This window comes from Homo sapiens, chromosome 17, assembly GCF_000001405.40.
Source record: "Homo sapiens chromosome 17, GRCh38.p14 Primary Assembly".
NCBI lineage: Eukaryota > Metazoa > Chordata > Mammalia > Primates > Hominidae > Homo > Homo sapiens.
In genome coordinates, this window is record NC_000017.11 from 64,477,483 (window position 1) to 64,497,385 (window position 19,903).

A 19,903-nucleotide genomic window follows, 5' to 3' on the forward strand; every position below is an offset into this window, starting at 1 on the left:
ATGATAAACACCAGCGTACTAAACATGGCAGAACAGAAGGGAAGTGCCTGGGTCCCTAACTATAGAAACAGTAATACTAGCTTTGGACAGTCTACCCGCTAGAGTTCTTGTATGTAAGAAAAACAAACCCCAATTTGCTTAATCCAGTATAGTAGATTTTTGTTTCTTGTAGCTGAACATATTCCTGATACAATGAAAGACATAAAAAATATAAACACTGAATGAAAGCAAGCACCACAAATGTCCACTTTATAAGTGCAAAGGGGCTAGAAATAAATCTAAGTGAACATAAGACAACCAAATTAGGAGAGAAGAATATTTATTATACAAATATAAAAATCTATACATTCTTAGCTGATGATATATACTTAATCAAAAAGTCTTTTAATTTGGATATATGCATCATTTCCTTCATTGTGGTGTCTCTGCTTCTCAGATGTATTAATCCATTCTCCAAAGTAGTTTCAGTAACCAAAACTGTGAAGAGAATACTCATTTCATCATACCTAAGAAAAAAGTAGTTAAACAGACACATGAGCACAAATGTAAATAATAAATTCCTCCACGTTGCCAGCTGTAATTCAGTGTTCATGCACTCTCAAGAGTCACAGACTCAGGGCTTAAGGGTGGACCAAAAAAACCCAACATTTTTAAAGTTTCTGAATTGTATTTAAAGTAATATTTTCAGACAGTTTCTAACTTATTGCTAGAGCTGAAAAGTCATAAAAGAAAATAAAATCTGAGAATAAACACTGGTACCTCAACACATCATTTGGGGTGATATCACAGAAGAACCGCATAATAACCTCAGCCTTTTGGTTCTTGGATGCAATCCAAGAACAATTATTTTAGACTGAAGTCTCTTACAATAAACAATATTATAATAAAGATGCAATTTGGTATAACAAATTATACCAAAATCATGTTTCCTTTATTGAGTAGCTAGCTTATAGCTTCTAGTTCAGCAATAACCAAACAGATAGATGCACGGCTGACCTTCTGTATGCTTACCAAGTCACACTATCTCATTACTGTTTATTTCCTTTGTAGGACTCCATCAGAAACTTTTTATTTCTCTGTTTATTTATTGTCTATTTTGTCCTACTAGAATATAAGCTTAACAAGAATAGTATGGCTGGGCGTGGTGACTCATGCCTGTAATCCCAGCACTTTGGGAGGCTGAGATGGGCGGATCATGAGGTCAGGAGTTCGAGACCAGCCTGGCCAACATAGTGAAACCCCATCTCTACCAAAACTACAAAAAATTAGCTGGGCGTGGTGGCAGGCGCATGTAATCCCAGCTACTCGGGAGGCTGAGGCAGGAGAATCGCTTGAACACGGGAGGCAGAGGTTGCACTAAGCCGAGATCACGCCATTGCACCAGCCCGGGCGACAGTGCGAGACTCTGTCTTAAAAAAAAAGAATGATACATTTTTCTGTGTTGTTCACCACTATAGCAAAGTGAATAAAACATAGTACGTGTTTAATAATAATTTCATAAAAATATCCTGGGACAATAAAACCTTTACCATATAAAGAACAACTGCAACTTGACAATGTCCACATGGCTCAAAGGATAAGAATTGAGAACCTGAGAGGACAAGAAAGTTCAAGTGCTGCCCCTTCATTTTACACATAATAAAACCATTAGATGCTCTAATTATAGAAAACTACTTTTCTTTGGACATCATCTGAAAGGTGTTTTTTTTTTTTTTTTTTGAGAAGGAGTCTCGCTCTGTCACCCAGGATGGAGTGCAGTGGCTTGATCTCAGCTCACTGCAACCTCCGCCTCCTGGGTTCAAGCAATTCTCCTGCCTCAGCCTCCCAAGTAGCTAGGACTACAGGCACAAGCCACCATGGCCAGGTAATTTTTTGTATTTTTAGTAGAGACGGGGTTTTGCTATGTTGGCCAGGCTGGTCTTGAACTCCTGACCTCAGGTGATCTGCCCGCCTCAACCTCCCAAAGTGCTGGGATTACAGGTGTGAGCCACTGCGCCCAGCCTGGAAGGTGTATTTTAACAAATGTTCAGAGAACTGAAGATCAAAACACAATGGTTCACAACTTTTCACCCAAAAGATACATATTCAACACAAAAAGCTTAAAAAAAATAACAAGAATGGATTATTTAAAAACAACAATTAATGAAATAGCATGGGGTGAGACTAGACACAGAGAGCTCAATTAGGAGATGATTTCAATAATCCAGGCAAGAGATATTGGTGACTCTAACTTGGGTAGTGGCAGCGAAGACAGAGATGGATGAGATACATTTAGGAAGCAAGCTGACAGCATTTGATGATAGACTGGATGTAGAGAATGAGGAAGAGGGAGGAGTTAAGGATGATAGCCAGTTTCTCTGTCTTGAGCAATTGGGTGAACAGAGGTGCCAATCCCTTAGAAGACTAGAACAGACCATCCCTCCAGAATAGAATTCCCTTCCACTCAGTCTCAGAATGGACCACAATGCCAGCAAAGAAAGGCATTCCACTCATATTCCTTCAGTCTTGATTCAACACATGCTCTCTACATACATACTTTCATCCATAAGTGGATAAGCTGAGGTATACATACTTCATGACATTAAGTCTTGGAACTACATACAGCATGTGCTCAAACATACTTGCTGAATACTGTTCCCTGCTGAGGCAATTAACTAAATGCACATAGTTCTGTAAAAGGGAAACTGAGGAATAATTTAAAATTATATTTTATATATAAATTTAGAAGAGATTTGTTTCTGTAATTCATAAACATAATCAAAAACTCTTGAATAAATACACTCTTTAATGAAAATACAATTCTTACTTCGAATAAAGTTGTTCCAATGAGGACTGCATAGTTTCCAAATAACCAGGCCACACAGAAATCCCATTTTCTAGTAACTCATTAAATAGCCCTTGACAAACCTAGAAAGAAATAGAAAAACTTCAAATATGAAAGAAATAATGGTAGCTAGAGTGATTATTCTATTTTTGTGAAGCCACAAATCACCCTCTTCAATCTCTAAAATGGGTATGTTTCTTTAATTATGTGATGTTAATGTTTATAACTTCCATATCATATACTTTATAAATCGTATACTTCTTCTGAAAATGAAGTAATTAAGCATAGCAAAGCTGAATACTAAATGCCAATCTTCTGAGAAATTTGTATATCAAATAAGAATTTTTATTACCCTTAGTATCATTCAAAACACAAACAAAACCAAAACAGATTCTGTCAGAAAAAAACCAGGAGATCCAAAGGGCTGTATGAACTCAGAGCCCTCATCTGAGAGGTGAGACCTGAGCCCTAGGTTATACCACCAAGTCAGGAAGAGGCAGAAGAGCCAGGAAAGAAAAAGGATGAGAAAAAGGAGAGTGGTATTCCAGAAGCAAACCCCGGAAAATGTTTCAAGAAGAGACTGATCAACCCATTTCACTGGAATGCTGGAGACAAAAGCTTGACTGGAAATACAGAAGTAACGATGAATAAATGACACAGTAAACTTAACTGTTTTCTTTACAAGCAATAGGGAAGCAAAACAAAGCAAAATTTAAAAACCCCTTAACAGTCTAGCACCAACAGTCCAGAGCAGGGTTCCTCACCCTTGCACTGCTGACCCAGGGTGTTTAGCAGCATTCCTGGCCTCCAGGAGAGGCCTGCAGCACCCTCCCACTCTTAGGACAACCACAAATCTCTCCAGACATTACTAAATGGTGACTGAGCTACAGCATCCTAGGAGCTTCCTAGCTTATAAGGGTATTAGGGAGGCTGCCATACCCTGGGAGAAAATGTGGGACATACGCCATTATCTTCTCCTTCTTTGAGCTCACTATCTCCCATCTTCCCAGACCTCTCCACAAAAGCCAGGGTCAGAAAGCTGGGGGACTCTCAAAGTCTTTAAATCTTTTTAGTGTCCGCATTCAGGTCTGGGCTGGGTCTCAATCACCCAGACAGAAATGACGACTGCTGAAGGAGTCTCTGGAACGAAATGAAAGCCATCCCCCATGGCCTTTCTTAAGAGTATTTAATCATTAGAACAAATTAGAAAAATCAAAATAAAATTATAGATCTAGAATATCTGAATATAGTCAGTTACCAAAAGTGTTAAGTTCAAAGGGGAAAGGCTGCGCACGGTGGCTCACGCCTGTAATCCCAGCACGTTGGGAGGCCGAGGTGGGCGGATCACTTGAGGTCAGGAGTTGGAGACCAGCCTGGCCAACATGGTGAAACCCTGTCTCTACTAAAAATACTAAAAAATTAGCCAGGTGTGGCGGTGTGTACCTGTAATCCCATCTACTAGGGAGGCTGAGGCAGGAGAATTGCTTGAACCTGGGAGGCAGAGGTTGCAGTGAGCCGAGATCGTGCCACTGCACTCCAGCCTGGGTAACAGAGCAAGACTCCGTCTCAAAATAAATAAATAAATAAATAAAAAGTTCAAAGGGGAAAGAAATAATTCACATTCACTAACATGTGTACAAATATTTTAATTACTATGTCTACTCACTAAAAAGTGAAACTATGAATGGGCATGAACAGCAAACCCAATGAACTGTATTCAGCTTCTTTAACACACTTCAAAATTATATATAATCACAGTACTTACCCACAGTTCATTATTTAATTAAAGCTTTTTTTTTTTTTTTTTTTTTTTCTGAAGCAGGGTCTTGCTCTGTCACCCAGGCTGGAGTGCAGTGCTGCGATCTCGGCTCACTGCAACCTCCACCTCCCAGGTTCAAGTGATTCTTGTGCCTTAGCCTCCTGAATAGCTGGAATTACAGGCACATACCATTATGCTCGGCTAATTTTTGTATTTTCAGTAGAGACCAGGTTTTGCCATATTGGCCAGGCAAATTAAAAACTTTTTTTTTTTTTTTTGAGACGGAGTCTCTGTCGCCCAGGCTGGAGTGCAGTGGTGCTATCTCAGCTCACTGCAACCTCTGCCTCCTAGGTTCAAGTGATTCTCCTGCCTTAGCCTCCTGAGTATCTGGGACTACAGGTGCGTGCCACCACGCCCAGCTAATTTTTGTATTTTTAGTAGATGGGGTTTCACCATATTGGCCAGGATGGTCTCGATCTCTTGACCTCGTGATCCACCCGCTTTGGCCTCCCAAAGTGCTGGGATTACAGGCGTGAGCCACCACGCCCGACCTAAAACATTTTAAAAAGCAAATGAATCAAAATAAAATTTTAAATGGCAAGCTATCAAGTTTACTTAGAGTAAGGGTTAGGTTGAGCATCCCTAATCAGAAAATCCGAAATCCAAAATGCTCCAAAACCTGAAACCTTGAGTTCAAAGGAAATGCTCATCAGAACATTTAAGATTTTGGATTTTTGGATTAGAGATGCAAATATACCAAAAAAATCCGAGATCCAAAATGGTCCTGGTCCAAAGCGTTTTTGGATAATACTCAATCTGTAATTAAAATGACATTTAAACTCATTTAACTCACCTGTCTTAGTTCCAATGTGGGGCCTCTTCCTACATCCAAAGCAACCTTAATAGGGGCTAAACAAGGGTGAAGTTTAAGTACCTAAGGCAATTAAATGGGGGAGGGAGAAGACAGGAAAGGGGAAAAAGCATAGTTTGTTTAAATATAACACAAGTTTAAATATAACACAAGTATTAACAAACAGTTTCTTAACAGTTATAATTTTCTGTGTGAAAACAGAAGTTAGCTGAGGTCATAAAAACACCATGTAGTAACATATTCAGCTGCCCCCCAGATTTCTCCACTTAGATGTTTGGCAGAAAGAAATTAATTTGGCCAGGCATGGTGGTACATGCCTATAATTCCAGCACTTTGGGAGGCTGAGGCAGGTGGATTCCTTGAGCTCAGGAGTTTGAGACCAGCCTGGGCAACACGGTGAAAACTTCTCTCTACCAAAAAAATACAAAAAAATTAGCTAGGTATGGCGCATACCTGTAGTCCCAGCTACTCAGGCGGCTGAGGTGGGAAGAATGCTTGACCCGGGAGGTCAAGGCTGCAGTGAGCCAAGATCGTGCCACTGCACTCTAGTCTGGGCGACAGAGTGAGATCCTGTCTCAAAAAAAAAAAAAAACAAATTAACTTGAGACCCTCCCATTTTCTGACAACTCCCTCAGTCAAAATGCTTCTTTCAGCATCACTTTGGACCCTACCAGCCTGGGCCACGTGGCTTACCATTTCAACTTTCTCTCTCTTGTCAAAACCTACTGTTCTTCTCTTTTTATATATATTTTTTTGAATGAAAAAAATTTTTAAATGAAATTTGCTTTTTTTTTTTTTTTAAAGGGTCTGGCTCTGTTGCCCAGGCTAGAATGCTCCACTCACTGCCTCACTGCAACCCCCACCTCTGGGCTCAAGCCATCCTCCCACTTCAGCCTCCTAAGTAGCAGGGACTACAGGTGCACGCCACCACGCCCAGCTAGTTTTAGTATTTTTTTGTAGAGATGAAGTTTTGCCATGTTGCCCAGACAGACTGGTCTCGAACTCCTGACCTGAATGATCCACCCACCTTGGCTTCCCAAAGTGCTGGGATTATAGGCGTGAGCCATTCAGCCCAGCCTTCTCTTCTCATTCATTAGTCCATCCAACAAACATTTTAATGCCTCTGATACCAGGAACAGTTCCAGGTGCTAGGGGTAAAAATCTCCGTCTCTCGTGGCAGGGAGAAACAGACAATAAAAATAAGTAAATAATATATGTGAAGGTGGTAGGTGCTAAAAAAGGAAGAAGATGGAACATGCTGGCAAGAGGCAGGCTGGGGGAGGTTTTCAGCAACTTTAAGGTGGTCAGAAAAGGTTCTCTCCCTATGGTGACACTTGAGCAAACACTCGAAAGAAGGTGGGGGGACGAGACATGGATGATGAAGAAAGAGCACTCTAGGCAATGGGGAATACAAATGACAGGGCTCTGAGCTGGCAGCATCTCCAGCATGTTCTAGAAATAGCAAGGTCAGTGCTGCTGGAGCAGACTGAGTGAGGTGGAGAACAGCAGATCAAAAAGAGGGCTTCGGTTTTTCCTGAGTGAGATGAGAAGCTTTCCTGGAGTGTTCTGAGCAAAGGAGCAACACAACATGCACCTTTTAACAGGGCCACTCTATCAGGGGAGGAGGAGTGGCGGTGGCTTATAGCAGGGTGGTAGCAGTAGACAGGCTAGGAAGTGGTCAGACTCAGGATACGTTTTGAAGTTAGAGTCAAACAGGATTTGCTGATGGTTTGGAAGTGGAGTGTAAGAAAAAGAAAGGATTCCTTTTTTTGTTAGCTACAAACCATTTATAAACCCCATTCCCCAGAATAATTCTATAATCAGACTTCTCTATGGTTATAGCAGGCTAAATGAACACTGTATAATAAATCACTTAACTAAGAAGAGTGGTTTCCTACAAACTCATGGTTCCCAATCCCAGCTGAACACTCAACATTATTTGTTAAAACTTTTGATTTGGGGCAGCTTCCTTTTATGTTCAAAGGGTATATGACTATTCCCCACTCGTGCCATTTAAACCCCCACTCTTCCACATTTAAACTAATAGTGCCTCCTAACTCCCTGAGAAAATAGAGGGCATCAGTAAAATGTCCTTCAAAGACCAAAAAGCCCAGTAGCCTTTTTATATCTCACTATCCTTTTTCTTCTTCCCTGCTGTTTCAAATATCTCCTTTTCAAGATACATTCTTCTACTTGGGCTCTTGATCCCATCCTGACCCCTCCGGTTTCCTTCATCTTGCCCCATTAATCATTTCTTTTCTCTCCTATAACTTCAACTTCTCCTCTCGATTTTCTTTGACCCATAAACATGCTCCAAGTGCATGTTCATGCACTAAAATCAGCCTTTCCAGGCCCACATCTAGCTCCTCTGATCCAGGAACCAGCCATGTGGCACAAGACCAGAAGCCAGACACCTGGGGCAGAGAGGTCAATAGCACAGGTCTCCCTGATCCGGGTCTTTCTTCCTCCTATGTACCAATGCTTCAGCTTCTGATACAAATGGAAGCCCACAGTGGAAAGGTTCAGGGGCTAGGAGTCATAGAGATAGCTGTCTGTTCACAATTAAACAGAAATGCCTTTGGGATTACTTATTAGGGATGCCTTGTTCTATTCTGTGAGAACCTGATTCTTATTCCTGTGGCCAGATTCTAAAAAAACTGAAAAATACTTAGACTACATGCACTAAATTTATTATTTAGAGTTTATGTTAGAAACCGAGCACACTAACATTAAGAACAAACAAACCCATATTTTTAGTTTCCCAAGTCTATCTCTGAAATATCAACAGCACCTTTCTATGAAGATTTTTCTTTCTTGTAAAGGAGTTCTCTGTCAGCTGGAAAGAATCATAGAGGTAGGCCAGCATGCCTCGGTCTAGGTCCCCATTTACAGAGAGAACACAAGGAACCACATTTTTTCGTCCATCTCGGCCCTTCACAGAAAAACAGAAGAAAAATAATCATTTCACAGAACTTTTTTTGTTTGTTTGTTTTTGAGACGGAGTCTCACTCTGTCACCTGGCCAGGCTGGAGTGCAGTGGCATGATCTCAGCTCCCTGCAACCTCTGCCTCCCAGGTTCAAGTGATTCTCCTGCCTCAGCCTCCTGAGTACATATTTTAGACTTACACAATCAGAATACAAAAGTAAAGTTTCATTTTACAAAGCACCCACTCTGTACCAGGCCTGTGGTAGGCACTGGGCCCACGAAGACGATAAAGATGCATTCTCTGCTCTCACTGAGCTCAGTGTTTCATCAGCGAGGCCCAAATGTGAATTTTAAAACTATGGTGCTTGGTTGGGCTCTATCCCAGAGATTCTGAACGAACTCAACTGGAGAGGGACTTAGGCATCAATTTTTTCAATAGCCCTACAGACTATTTCTTTAATGCTTCCGAGCTCAGAGTTAGTATTCAGAAAGGTAACACTTTTTTTTTTTTTAATACAGACAGAGTCTCGCTCTGTCACCCAGGCTGGAGTGCAATGGCATGATCTCACCTCATTGCCAACCTCTGCCACCCGGGTTCAAGTGATTCTCTTGCCTCAGTCTCCTGAGTAGCTAGGACTACAGGCACACACCACCATGTCTGGCTAATTTTTTTCTATTTTTAGTAGGGACGGGGTTTCACCATGTTGGCCAGGTTGTTCTCAAACTCCTCACCTCAGGTGATCAGCCCACCTCAGCCTCCCAAAGTGCTGGGATTACAGGCGTGAGCCACTGCGCCCTACCTCGAAAGGTAACACTTTTAAGTAAAAATTGTTTGCTGATTATTCAAAAGAGGCCTTAGGGAAAAAAATGGTGTGCTTTAGGGAAAGGGGTTTGGAGTATAATTTTCTGAAACGTAAAGTTATTTTCATAAAAAAGAAATCTTTCAAAAACTTACTTTTTGCATTAAAGCCATAATTATGAAAACAAACTACACATAGTACATGATATGAATTAAGTATTGATAAACAGACTTACTTCTTCTCTAAACTGAAGAGGAATCATTTCAAACTTCTTAAAAATTTCAATCCTAGAAATTTCTTAAGTTTTGGATAAAAACAGTTCCACTTTCATCTTTCTTTTTTTGTAAATCATTGTTCACCTGGATATTCATGTAATTTTTAAAAATACTTAAATAACCACCTTTAGCTAGAGTCACAGAACAAAAAAAAAAGAGAGAAAACCCCACAAATTTAAATCCTCAGCTTCTGTTAATTATTCATGATCAACCACAGTCTTCATTAATACATATATGTACTGACATTTTAAACCTATTTGAATTGCATATGATACTTTAAAGATTCACAAGAATTTGCCCTCAAAGGCAGTAAACTTTCTGATACCTGGGACTCTATTCTACCAGTTGTATTTCACACAGTTATCGTCGAACTGATAGTTAATAAGATAAACTGGGCTGGGAGCAGTGGCTCATGCCTGTAATCCCAGCACATCGGGAGGCCATGGTGGACGAATCACTTGAGTTCAGGAGTTCGAGACCAGCCTGGCCAACATGGTAAAACCCCACCTCTACTAAAAAGACAAAAATTAGCTGGGCATGGTGGTGCATGCTTGTAATCCCAGCTACTCAGCAGGCTGAGGCATGAGAATCACTTGAACCCAGGAGGTGGAGGCTGCAGTGAGCAGACATTGTGCCACTATACTCCAGCCTGGGTGACAGAGTGAGACACCATCTCAAAAAAAAAAAAAAAAAAAAAAAGACAAACTCAAGTACTGAAAGATTCTGTGGTGCGCTTTGAATCAAACAAAATCTAAATCTGAATCTTTATGAAGAATGCTTTAGGCTGGGCACAGTGACTCACTCCTGTAATCCTAGCACTTTGGGAGGCCAGGGCAGGAGGATCACTTGAGCCCAGGAGTTTGAGACTAGCCTGGGCAACATGGCAAGATCCCATCCCTATTTAAAACAAACAAAAAAGATTGTTTATTGTTTTCTAATTTTTTGAAAATTGGATATCCAACAATGTCAGGATATCTGGTGGCAACTCTTCCAACAATATCTGATTTCTCACACTATCCAGAATAAATTCTTTTCTATCCTAACTGTTCTTCAGCCTTTATTGGTCTGCTTCACTGTTCTCTAAAAAATATATTTGGACATTAACCATAAAATCAACTAAAAACAGATACAAAATGGCCTAAGAGGCTGGGTGCAGTGGTTTACGCCTATAATCCCAGCACTTTGGGAGGCTAAGGCAGGAGGATTGCTTGAGCCCAGGAGTTCAAGACCAGCCTGAGCAACACAGCGAGACCCCATCTCTATTAAATAATTTTAAAAAAAGAAAGAAATGGCCTCAGAAACATTTCAAGAAAGCATACTAAATGACAGAAATTCTACTTAATATTTTATAACATGTTCAACTAATGATAAATAATTTTGTGAACTCTGGAAACAGAAAAGGAACAATGTCATGGAAGAGAAAAATTTCTGCAATAGGAAAACTCTTCATTAGTGAAAATGATACCAATAAAAGAACAAAATAATCTGGGCATGGTAGTTCACACCTGTAATCTTAGCACTCAGAAAGGCAGAGGCAGGAGAACAGCTTGAGCCCAGGAATTCAAGACCAGACTGGGCAACATAGCGAGACCCCATTCTTCATACAAAAGAAAAAAAAGAACAAAATAAGACACTAATAGCCACAATACAAAAATCATCTTTAAATCCCTAGTCACAAGGTTGAGCTGTTCGTTAACTATGATAATAACCAATAAGTTTCATTTGAGAGCTGAGTACCCCAAAATGAAGTGTGATGGTGGTGGAGTTAAAGGAAAATGTTCACCAGTTAATAAGCCTTCTAGTTTTTCATTAGTTATTCATATTTAAAAATTCCAGCCTGGTCAATATGGTGAAACCCTGTCTCTACTAAAAATACAAAAATTAACCGGGCGTGGTGGCGCACACCTATAGTCCTAGCTACTCAGGAGGCTGAGGCAGAAGAACTGCTTGAACCTGGGAATCGCGACACTGCACTCCAGCCTGGGCAACAGAGTGAGATGCTGTCTCAAAAAATAAAAAAATAAAAATTAATCTACTTTCTACTCATTATATATAAACTCCTATGTTTTTGCTATATATTTTTTCTTTTTCTTTTTTTTTTTTTTTGAGACATGGTCTCATCCTGTTGCACAGGCTGGAGTGCAGCAGCACAGTCTTGGCTCACTGATGATCCTGGAACAATATATTGCTACAAAAGGTAAGGAAGTGCTCGTCAAGACAATGATGGAAATATGTCAAAAGGACACTGGCCAAGTCTAGGACAATTTGACCATCAAAATAAATAATGACAGTAACACACTGTAACCCCCTGAGAAAGTAATCTGTGAAATACCAATTTAAAAAAAAAATGGAGGAGAAGGAAAAGCTCTACAGTATATTGCTGACCAGTAAATCTAGAAGGAATGATGGAATTTGTTTTTTTTTAAAAAAAAAAAAAAGGGAAGGGGAAAAAAACACCATTGGCAAACCTCATCGTAGTAACTGATTTGAGCAAGAATCATCAAGGGATGCTGCAACCAGTAAGGCAAAATTTGGTGACATGGCCAAACATGGTGACTCATTCTTATAATCCAAGCATTTTGGGAGGCTGAGGCAGGGGGATTGTTTCATCCCAGGAGTTCGAGACCAGCCCGGGCAACAAAGCTAGACCCCGTCTCTACAAATATTAAACCATCAGTCGGGCATGGTGATACATGCTTGTAGTCCTAGCTACTTGGGAGGCTGAGGCAGGATTGCTTGAGCTCAAGAGTTTGAGGTTGCAGTGAGCTATCACCATACCACTGTGTTTCAGCCTGAGTGATAGAGTGAGATCCTGTCTCAAATAAAGAAAAAAAAAAATCACCATTTGGCAAACCTCACATTAGTAACTGATCTGGGCAAGAATCATCAATGGATGCTGCAACCAGTAAGGCAAAATTTGGTGACAAAGAAATTGTCTGCATCATCTTAAAGTATCTGCCCACAACACTTATTAATTACTAGTTAATTTTTTTGTTTTTTTTTTTTGAGACAGAGTCTCGTTCTGTCGCCAGGCTGCAGTGCAGTGGCACGATCTTGGCTCATCGCAACCTCCACCTCCCGGGTTCAAGCGATTCTCCTGCCTCAGCCTCCCAAGTAGCTGAGACTATAAGGGCAAGCCACCACATCCAGCTAATTTTTGTATTTTTAGTAGAGATGGGGTTTCACCACATTGGCCAGGATGGTCTCAATCTCTTGACCTCATGATCCTCCCACTTCGGCCTCACAAAGTGCTGGGATTACAGGCGTGAGCCACTGCGCCTGGCCGTTAATTAATAAATACAAACTATTTATTAGCTTTACACTGGAGAAATCTAGTAGAAACCATCTTAACTAAATGATAAAAGTTAACATCACCAGTAACACTCCTCATATGACACACTGAGAAGAGAGCTTCTCAGTACTACCACTTCTGTAGTACTCCCGACAAAAATACATAAATCACGTGGAAACAGCAGACAGATCCCAGCCAAGGCATATTCTACAGATTAACTAGACTGTACTCTTCAAAAATGTCAAGGTCACGCAAGACAAGAGGAATTGTTCATTTGAAGGAGTGTAAAGGCATATGACAACTACATGAAAGACAAGATCTTGGACCTATAAATGCCATTATTGAGATAATCAGTTCAATTTGTAGGGCTCTGTGGCAATAGTGGATTACTGTTAATTTCCTGATTTTGATGACTGGATTGTAGTTATGTAGGTGAGTGTCTCTGCATCTGAAAAATACACAATGAAGTGTTAAGACACCACGTTTGCACCTTATTCTCAAATGGTTCGGAAATGATTATAGAGAATCTGGGTAAAAAATACATAGGAGCTCCAGGTAAAACATACATGTAATTTAGACACATTGCCAGGATACATGTGTAAAAGTTCGTGATCTCCTAGGTTCCACAGGGTTTCTATTAACTCCTTTCCCCAGGGAAAATTGTAGTAAAGTTTGTTTCCTTTCCGGCCTTCTTCATCCTGACAGTCACTGCTGCTGAAGTTAGATGGACTCATGGCAAACTGGAAAAGAAAATTTAAGTTTGTCTTAACATATTTAAATAAACACTAATTTAACTCCCATAATTATCTGTAAGAATTTAAATTGTCCGATACTTTTTATTCAGCAAATGTGCGAAACTAGTCAAGTCCCGAATACAAATTTTAAAGTTTATTCTAATTTACATTTTTTTTTGAGATGTGTCTCATTCTGTTGCCCAGGTTAGAGTGCAGTGGCTAGTCACAGGTACAATCATAGCTCACTGCTGCCTCCTACTGCTGGCCTCAAGCAATCCTCCTGCCTCAGGATTCAGAGTAGCTGGGACCACAGGTTGCTGAAATTTAATTTTTAAAAAGTGAAAATACTGGCCAGGCACAGTGGCTCACGCCTGTTATGCCAGCTCTTTGGGAGGCTGAGGCAGGGGGATCACTTGAGCTTAGGACTTCGAGACCAGCCTGGGTAACAGAGCAAGACTTCATCTCTACAAATAATAAAAGAAGTTGCAGTGAGCTGTGATTGTGCAACGGCAGTCCAGCCCGGGCAAAAGAGTGAGACTATGTCTCTAAAAAAACCAAGATGGAGTCAGTTGTACCAGTGAAGGACAAGAAACTTCTGGAGGTCAAACTAGGGGAGCTGCCAAGCTGGATCTTGATGTGGGACTTCAGCCCTAGTGGCCTTGATGGAGCGTTTCAAAGAGGTTACTACTGGTACTACAACAAGTACATCAACGTGAAGAAGGGGAGCATCTCGGGGTTTACCATGGTGCTGGCAGGGTACATGCTCTTCATCTACTGCCTTTCCTACAAGGAGCTCAAGCACGAGCGGCTATGCAAGTACCACTGAAGAAGACATGCTCTGCACTCCCCCAGCAACCTTCTTGGCTGCAACCCCTCCATAAGCAACACAATCTCGATTGTTGCTGAATCCTTTCATATCCTAATGGGAATTAACCTCCAAATAAAAGATGACTGGTACTTGTGAAAAAAAAAAAACAAAAAAAAAACCAAAAACAGACAACAAAAATAAAATAAAATAAAAAGTGAAAATACTGAGTATATTGCTTAACATATTGTTTTTTAGTAGGAAAGAACTACAGAGAAAAAACTGTTGATGTTATCCAGACTTTTATGGCCAATGAAGAGGGGAAGTTAACCATGACTAAAGTGGGATAAAGAAGAAAGTATCACATAGTCCTCATTCTTACCCTTCTGCGAAGTTCTTGATGACTCGTGATTATTTCATACAGTTTAAATGGGTATTTGGGGATGTTTGAGTCGGGAAATGGTAACATAACACATGGCAAGACAAAAATGCTTACTTCAACTCTTTTTTTTTCAGTGAGTACTAAAACTTGATCATCAATTACAGAGCCATTTTGACTAATATGGAAAGTTCATGGAGGTAGGTAGCAAAAGCTGAAGCTGTGACAATGGTCAAGGGTCAAACTCTACATCAGCCAGGAATGCTAGGTGAGGGCTTTGAATTTTACCTTACACAGAAAGGCTAATTAACAAACACATCTGAGCCCAACAAATGTTTTTACCAAAGTAACTTTGTAATCTAGAACAATGAAAATTGTTACAAAGAGTTTTTGTATTTGTATAATATATTAATAGCTACATACATCAAATATAATTTCTTGTATGTCAGAAGAATTACCACTGACACATTAAGACAATTTATGTATTAACTATTAAATTAAAGGTAATTATTGCAGTACCTTTCTCCACCACTGGAGTCGATGACGTAACCAGAAATCAAGCCACTGGTTTGAAGTTCTCGGAGGAGTAAACCATACTAACGAAGCTTCAGTCTTCTCACCAATACTTTAGATATAAAACGTATCAGGAAGTTAGCTTATCTGAAAATTATATAATTTATCCCAAGTGGAAATGACTGGTTTTTGACTATTTAAATACAAGGCCAAGTTATTTGCCACTTTTTATACCTTTTAACACCATTTCGTATCTGCTTAGTGTCAAAAACAGGATGAAAACACACTCCAATCTGAGCAAGGCCATAAGGTAGCCTCTTGTTTACCAGATCCAGGCAATTAACATAGTGTTCCAAGGCACCTGTCAAAAGATAAATCAATCATTGTATACATCTAGTCCACAAACCCAAATCATTTTTGTCAATAGACACATTAATAGTAGTAATAACGTTAACACAGCATAAAGACAGATGTTGGCTAAGCTTGGTGGCTCACGCCTATAATCCCAGCACTTTGGGAGGTCGAGGTGGGCAGATTGCTTGAGCTCAGGAGTTCTGAGACCAGACTGGGCAACACAGCAAAACCCCATCTCTAAAAATATACAAAAATAAGCCAGGCATGGTGGTGTGTGCCTTGTAGTCCCAGCTACTTGGAAAGCTGGGAGGTGGATCACTTTAGTCTGGGAGGCCAAGGTTGCAGTGAGCTGGGATGGTGCCACTGTGCTCCAGCCTGGGCAACAGAGTGAAACCCTGTCTTAAAAAAAAACAAAAAAAGACAGATCACCACTTAATTCTAGGTAGTTTCACCCTGAGTTTTTAGTTTGAAGATTTTCTTTTTTTTTTGAGATGGAGTCTCGCTCTGTCGCCCAGGCTGGAGTGCAGTGGCAGGGTCTCGGCTCATTGCAACCTCCGCCTCCCGGGTTCATGCCATTCTCCTGCCTCAGCCTCCCGAGTAGCTGGGACTACAGGCGCCCGCCACCACGCCCGGCTAATTTTTTCTGTATTTTTAGTAGAGACGGGGTTTCACCGTGTTAGCCAGGTTGGTCTCGATCTCCTGACCTCATGATCTGCCTGCCTTGGCCTCCCAAAGTGCTGGGATTACAGGCGTGAGCCACCGCGCCCGACAAAGATTTTCAAATCTATAAGAAAGTTGAAAAAATAATAAACATCCATATACAATGAACACTTGTATACCCTTTACCTAGATTCATCAATTATCAACATTTTGCCACATTTTTTTCTTGTTCACTCCCAAATACTGCCGCATACATCTTCTAAAAATAAAAATATTTCCTATATACCATTATAACACCATAAAAAGTTAACCATAATACCACAATATAATCTAACATATGGTGATATTTTAGTTGTTCCAATTTTCACCCCAAATATCTTTTACTGTTCTCTTTCCAGTTAAGATTCATGTACTGCATTCTGAGTAGGTTTCTTTCATCCATTTGAATCTAGAACATTTCCCTTGCCTCCTTTCCCCCTTAATTTTGCTATTAATGACACTGACTTTTGATGTGAGTCCAGGTTAGTCATAGATTGTCTCACATTTGGGATTTGTCTGATTGTTTCCTTATGATTTAATTTCGGCTAATCATTTTTAGCAAAATACTACATAGTAGATGTGTGTATCTTATTGCATCATAACATGAGGAACATGTTATCAAATTATTCCACTACTGAAGACACCAAATTTGATTACTTGGTTAAGGTAGTAAATATCCACTCCCCAATAATATCCTGCTCCCCAACAGTATTTCACCCAGTATTTTAGAATCCATTGATGACTGTTGCTTGAATCAATGATATCGGGGTTTGCAATATCATGAAATGGTGAATTTTCTAATGTATCTTTCCTTCTACATTTATTCCATAGCTTCTGTAAAAACATAAGCTTTCTCTACCTCTTCCCCCCGCCCCCGACCTCTAGGGTCAATTATTTGTTTTTGATTAATACTATTGACTCTTAGATTTTAGTCAATGTGTTATGATCCATTACCATTAATATGTATCTTAATGTTCAATTTGTCCTAGATGTGGCCAGTGACAACCCTCCTCAAGCCAGCATCTGTGACCTTTTTATATGACCCATTAGTCTTCAAGCAATTCTTTGCTTTTTAGCACCATAAAGTGTTTCAAACTCACCTTGTACTTTCCCTAACCCCAGACCCGGAATCAGCCATTTCTCCCAGTACTGGTTCATCTTAGAAACCAAGATCTGGAGGCCGGGCGCAGTGGCTCACGCCTGTAATCCCAGCACTTTGGGAGGCCGAGGCGGGCGGATCACAAGGTCAGGAGATAGAGACCATCCTGGCTAACAAGGTGAAACCCCGTCTCTACTAAAAATACAAAAAATTAGCCAGGCGTGGTGGCAAGTGCCTGTAGTCTAGTCCCAGCTACTCGGGAGGCTGAGGCAGGAGAATGGCGTGAACCTGGGAGATGGAGCTTGCAGTGAGCCGAGATTGTGCCACTGCACTCCAGCCTGGGCGGCAGAGCGAGACTCTGTCTCAAAAAAAAAAAAAAAAGGAACCAGGATCTGGGCACTAGGTGTGCTCATTGCTACTGAGGGTCATTGCTTCTAGGAACTTTAAACGAAGAAAGTTAGGAAATATATTTTTAAAAATCATGAGGCTGGGCACTGTGGCTCACACCTGTAATCCCAGCACTTTGGGGGGCCAAGATGGGCGGATTGCTTAAGCTCAGGAGTTCAAGACCAGCCTGGACAACATGGCAAAACCTCATCTCTACAAAAAACACAAAAATTAGCTGGGTGTGGTGGCATGTGCCTGTAGTCCAGCTACTTGGGAGGCTGAGGTGGGAGGTTCACTTGAGCCCGAGGTCGAGGCTGCAGTGAGCCATGATCACACCACTGCACTCGAGTCTGGGTGACAGAGTGAGACCCATATTCAATTTTAATTTACCAATTCATATTTAATTTACCAATCCATATTTAACATTAGTTTATACGTACCTTCTTTTACATATTATCTCTTCTTTTACAATGAATATCTTGGTTCCTAATAACAACTAACCCAACTATTTGAATTTTTTTTTTTTAAGACGGAGTTTTGCTCTTGTCACCCAAGCTGGAGTGCAGTGGCGTGATCTCGGCTCACTGCAACCTCTGCCTCCTGGGTTCAAGCGATTCTCCTGCCTCAGCCTCCCAAGTAGCTGGGATTACAGGCGCTCGCCGTCACGGCCGGCTAATTTTTGTCTTTTTAGTAGAGACGGGGTTTCACCATGTTGGCCAGGCTAGTCTCGAACTCCTGACCTCAGGTGATCCACCCGCCTCTGCCTTGCAAAATGCTGGGATTACAGGCGTGAGCCACTGCGCCTGGCCTTGATTTATCCTATGATATACATGAAATAGTTTCAGAATTATAATTTCAACATTTTTACTTAGAATAAATCTAAGAAAAGTTCAAAATGTCTGTGTAGTTCCTTATGCACTTAGACTACATTGCACTAAATGACAGCACTGTGTTCAGAAGTTGCCCCGTGAAATTGAGAGCGTTCCCAGGTCCTTCGGACAGATTGTTTAAGGAACAGCAATGATTCCATGGACCAGTTTTCTCCAGGGTAGAGCACTGTTAATATATCCGACTACTTCAAAAAGATGAGAACTAACTAACTTCCTTGCATGGGAATACAGGGCCAGTTGCAATCCCCAAGATCCAGCAAGACTGCCTCGCCTTTCCACCCGACACCTGTTTTGAAGCATGAAATCGTGAAGCATACCGTGAAGAAGGTTCTCCCGTAGTTTCCCAGAAGTTTTTAATACGTTCTCAAGAAATGCTACTAGCTGTTCCTTACTCAGCTCTTTGTCTTGCAAGATTTCGCGTAGAGTTTCTGCAGAAACTAACCTGAAGGCACTGTCCCCGGGTAGCAAAGGGCCTGGTTTGTGGTGGAGGGCGTCCACCGGGAATACCTGCTCCCTGAACACCACCACCGAGGTCCACCATTCTGCGGCCAGGTTCTTCCGCAACTCTACGCCCAAGGGTCCGAAGCCGGGGTGGCACCCACTCAGAAGAGAATCCCGGCTAAGCTGCTGCTTGCTTCCACTTAGGAAATGCCTTCTCTGACAGATCTCTAACAGCGCCTCGCTTCCCTCTCCAGACCCGGGGGCTTCTGGGTGCTCGCCGTTCCCCTCGAGCTCCGCGTGCGACTTCACATGCCCTCCTTTGGGGCTACTCCTTTCCGTCAACAGCTCCGGCTGCCCCGCATCTACTCGACCCCCAAACCCAGACAACAGGCACCTGCAGACCTTATGGCAGGCCCTGACGGCTACACGAGAGCGCATCTCTCTCCGAAGTTAAAGAGCACACTCTCCCATCACTCAACGGATCCCAACAAGCCACCACTACCGTTAACAGAATCCGGAGAGGCCACGGCGCAGGCGCAACGGAGGTGAGCGTGCTTGCGGGCGGCAGGCCCCACCCCGGAAGCGCATGTCTGCGTTCCGGCCGCAGCCGTCCCCCGCCCACCATGGCGGACGCCGGCTCGGATGGTTCTCTGCTAGCTTGCCGTTCGCGTCGCGCCCCTCCCTTCAGATTGACTTTTTTCTTTCCTCGTAAGCACCAGTAAAGGTTATTCCCACCTATTTATAACCGTGGTGTAGCCACTTGAGTCACTTCCTTCTGCCACTGTTTTGCAGTCCAGAAAATTAAAATACTTCAGTATTATCCAAATCACCTTCTATATACACCTCAATCAAGCA

The 19,903-nt window shown here is 41.5% G+C and overlaps 2 protein-coding genes and 1 pseudogene across 10 annotated transcripts in view, besides 4 other annotated features; 2 read left to right on the plus strand and 1 right to left on the minus strand.

Moving 5' to 3' along the window:
• The window catches only part of MILR1 (mast cell immunoglobulin like receptor 1), a 48,242-nt gene extending 28,368 nt beyond the window's left edge, over positions 1-19,874 (plus strand). The window contains exons 10-11 of one of the 4 annotated variants that reach the window (XR_002957990.2): positions 14,803-14,865; positions 18,839-19,874. The gene's annotated coding sequence lies outside the window, so the exon portion shown is untranslated. Of the gene's footprint in view, positions 1-14,802; positions 14,866-17,220; positions 17,859-18,838 lie in introns of those variants that run through there. The other 3 variants (XR_002957989.2, XM_024450708.2, XM_047435791.1) reach the window with 3 other exon arrangements.
• On the minus strand, positions 303-19,572 carry POLG2 (DNA polymerase gamma 2, accessory subunit). 6 transcript variants are annotated; one of them, NM_007215.4, is made up of 8 exons: positions 18,925-19,572; positions 15,413-15,539; positions 15,185-15,290; positions 13,314-13,487; positions 8,246-8,386; positions 5,437-5,517; positions 2,807-2,907; positions 303-506 (listed from the first exon to the last, which is right to left on the minus strand). In NM_007215.4, exons 1-8 carry the CDS (start codon positions 19,484-19,486, stop codon positions 341-343), a joined length of 1,458 nt encoding a protein of 485 aa, NP_009146.2. In that variant the 5' UTR covers positions 19,487-19,572; the 3' UTR covers positions 303-340. The 6 variants fall into 6 exon arrangements, 5 of the variants coding, with proteins under 5 accessions (NP_009146.2, XP_047291178.1, XP_047291179.1 ...); XR_007065259.1 differs by lacking the exon at positions 303-506 and adding an exon at positions 3,764-3,964 and having other exon boundaries at positions 2,804-2,907; XM_047435222.1 differs by lacking the exon at positions 2,807-2,907 and having other exon boundaries at positions 303-477.
• Positions 12,500-12,674: a silencer, noted in NCBI's record as "fragment chr17:62486099-62486273 (GRCh37/hg19 assembly coordinates)". NCBI's record gives its function as "represses an EF-1alpha promoter that drives an FKBP-Casp9 reporter gene in an ReSE screen in HepG2 liver carcinoma cells {active_cell/tissue: HepG2}" and the evidence as "EXISTENCE:reporter gene assay evidence [ECO:0000049][PMID:32094911]".
• ATP5MFP4 (ATP synthase membrane subunit f pseudogene 4) lies at positions 14,036-14,444 on the plus strand (annotated as a pseudogene).
• Positions 18,749-19,608: an enhancer, noted in NCBI's record as "H3K27ac-H3K4me1 hESC enhancer chr17:62492349-62493208 (GRCh37/hg19 assembly coordinates)". NCBI's record gives its function as "activates a minimal SCP1, AML or CMV promoter by ChIP-STARR-seq in naive H9 embryonic stem cells {active_cell/tissue: H9 hESC(naive)}" and the evidence as "EXISTENCE:reporter gene assay evidence [ECO:0000049][PMID:30033119]".
• Positions 19,260-19,329: an enhancer, noted in NCBI's record as "active region_12593". NCBI's record gives its function as "activates an Ori minimal core promoter by ATAC-STARR-seq in GM12878 lymphoblastoid cells {active_cell/tissue: GM12878}" and the evidence as "EXISTENCE:reporter gene assay evidence [ECO:0000049][PMID:35858748]".
• Positions 19,710-19,849: an enhancer, noted in NCBI's record as "active region_12594". NCBI's record gives its function as "activates an Ori minimal core promoter by ATAC-STARR-seq in GM12878 lymphoblastoid cells {active_cell/tissue: GM12878}" and the evidence as "EXISTENCE:reporter gene assay evidence [ECO:0000049][PMID:35858748]".

Bases quoted from the DNA above. Each gene is read 5' to 3' on its own strand.
- POLG2 (NM_007215.4), bottom strand. From the start codon at position 19,486: ATGCGCTCTCGTGTAGCCGTCAGGGCCTGCCATAAGGTCTGCAGGTGC. The intron at 15,540-18,924 runs GTATGCTTCACG...ATCTTTTGACAG, and splicing joins ACGGGAGAACCTTCTTCACG to GTGCCTTGGAACACTATGTT. The intron at 507-2,806 runs GTAAGAATTGTA...CTTTTTTCTTAG, and splicing joins TTGGAACAACTTTATTCGAA to GTATGATGAAATGAGTATTC.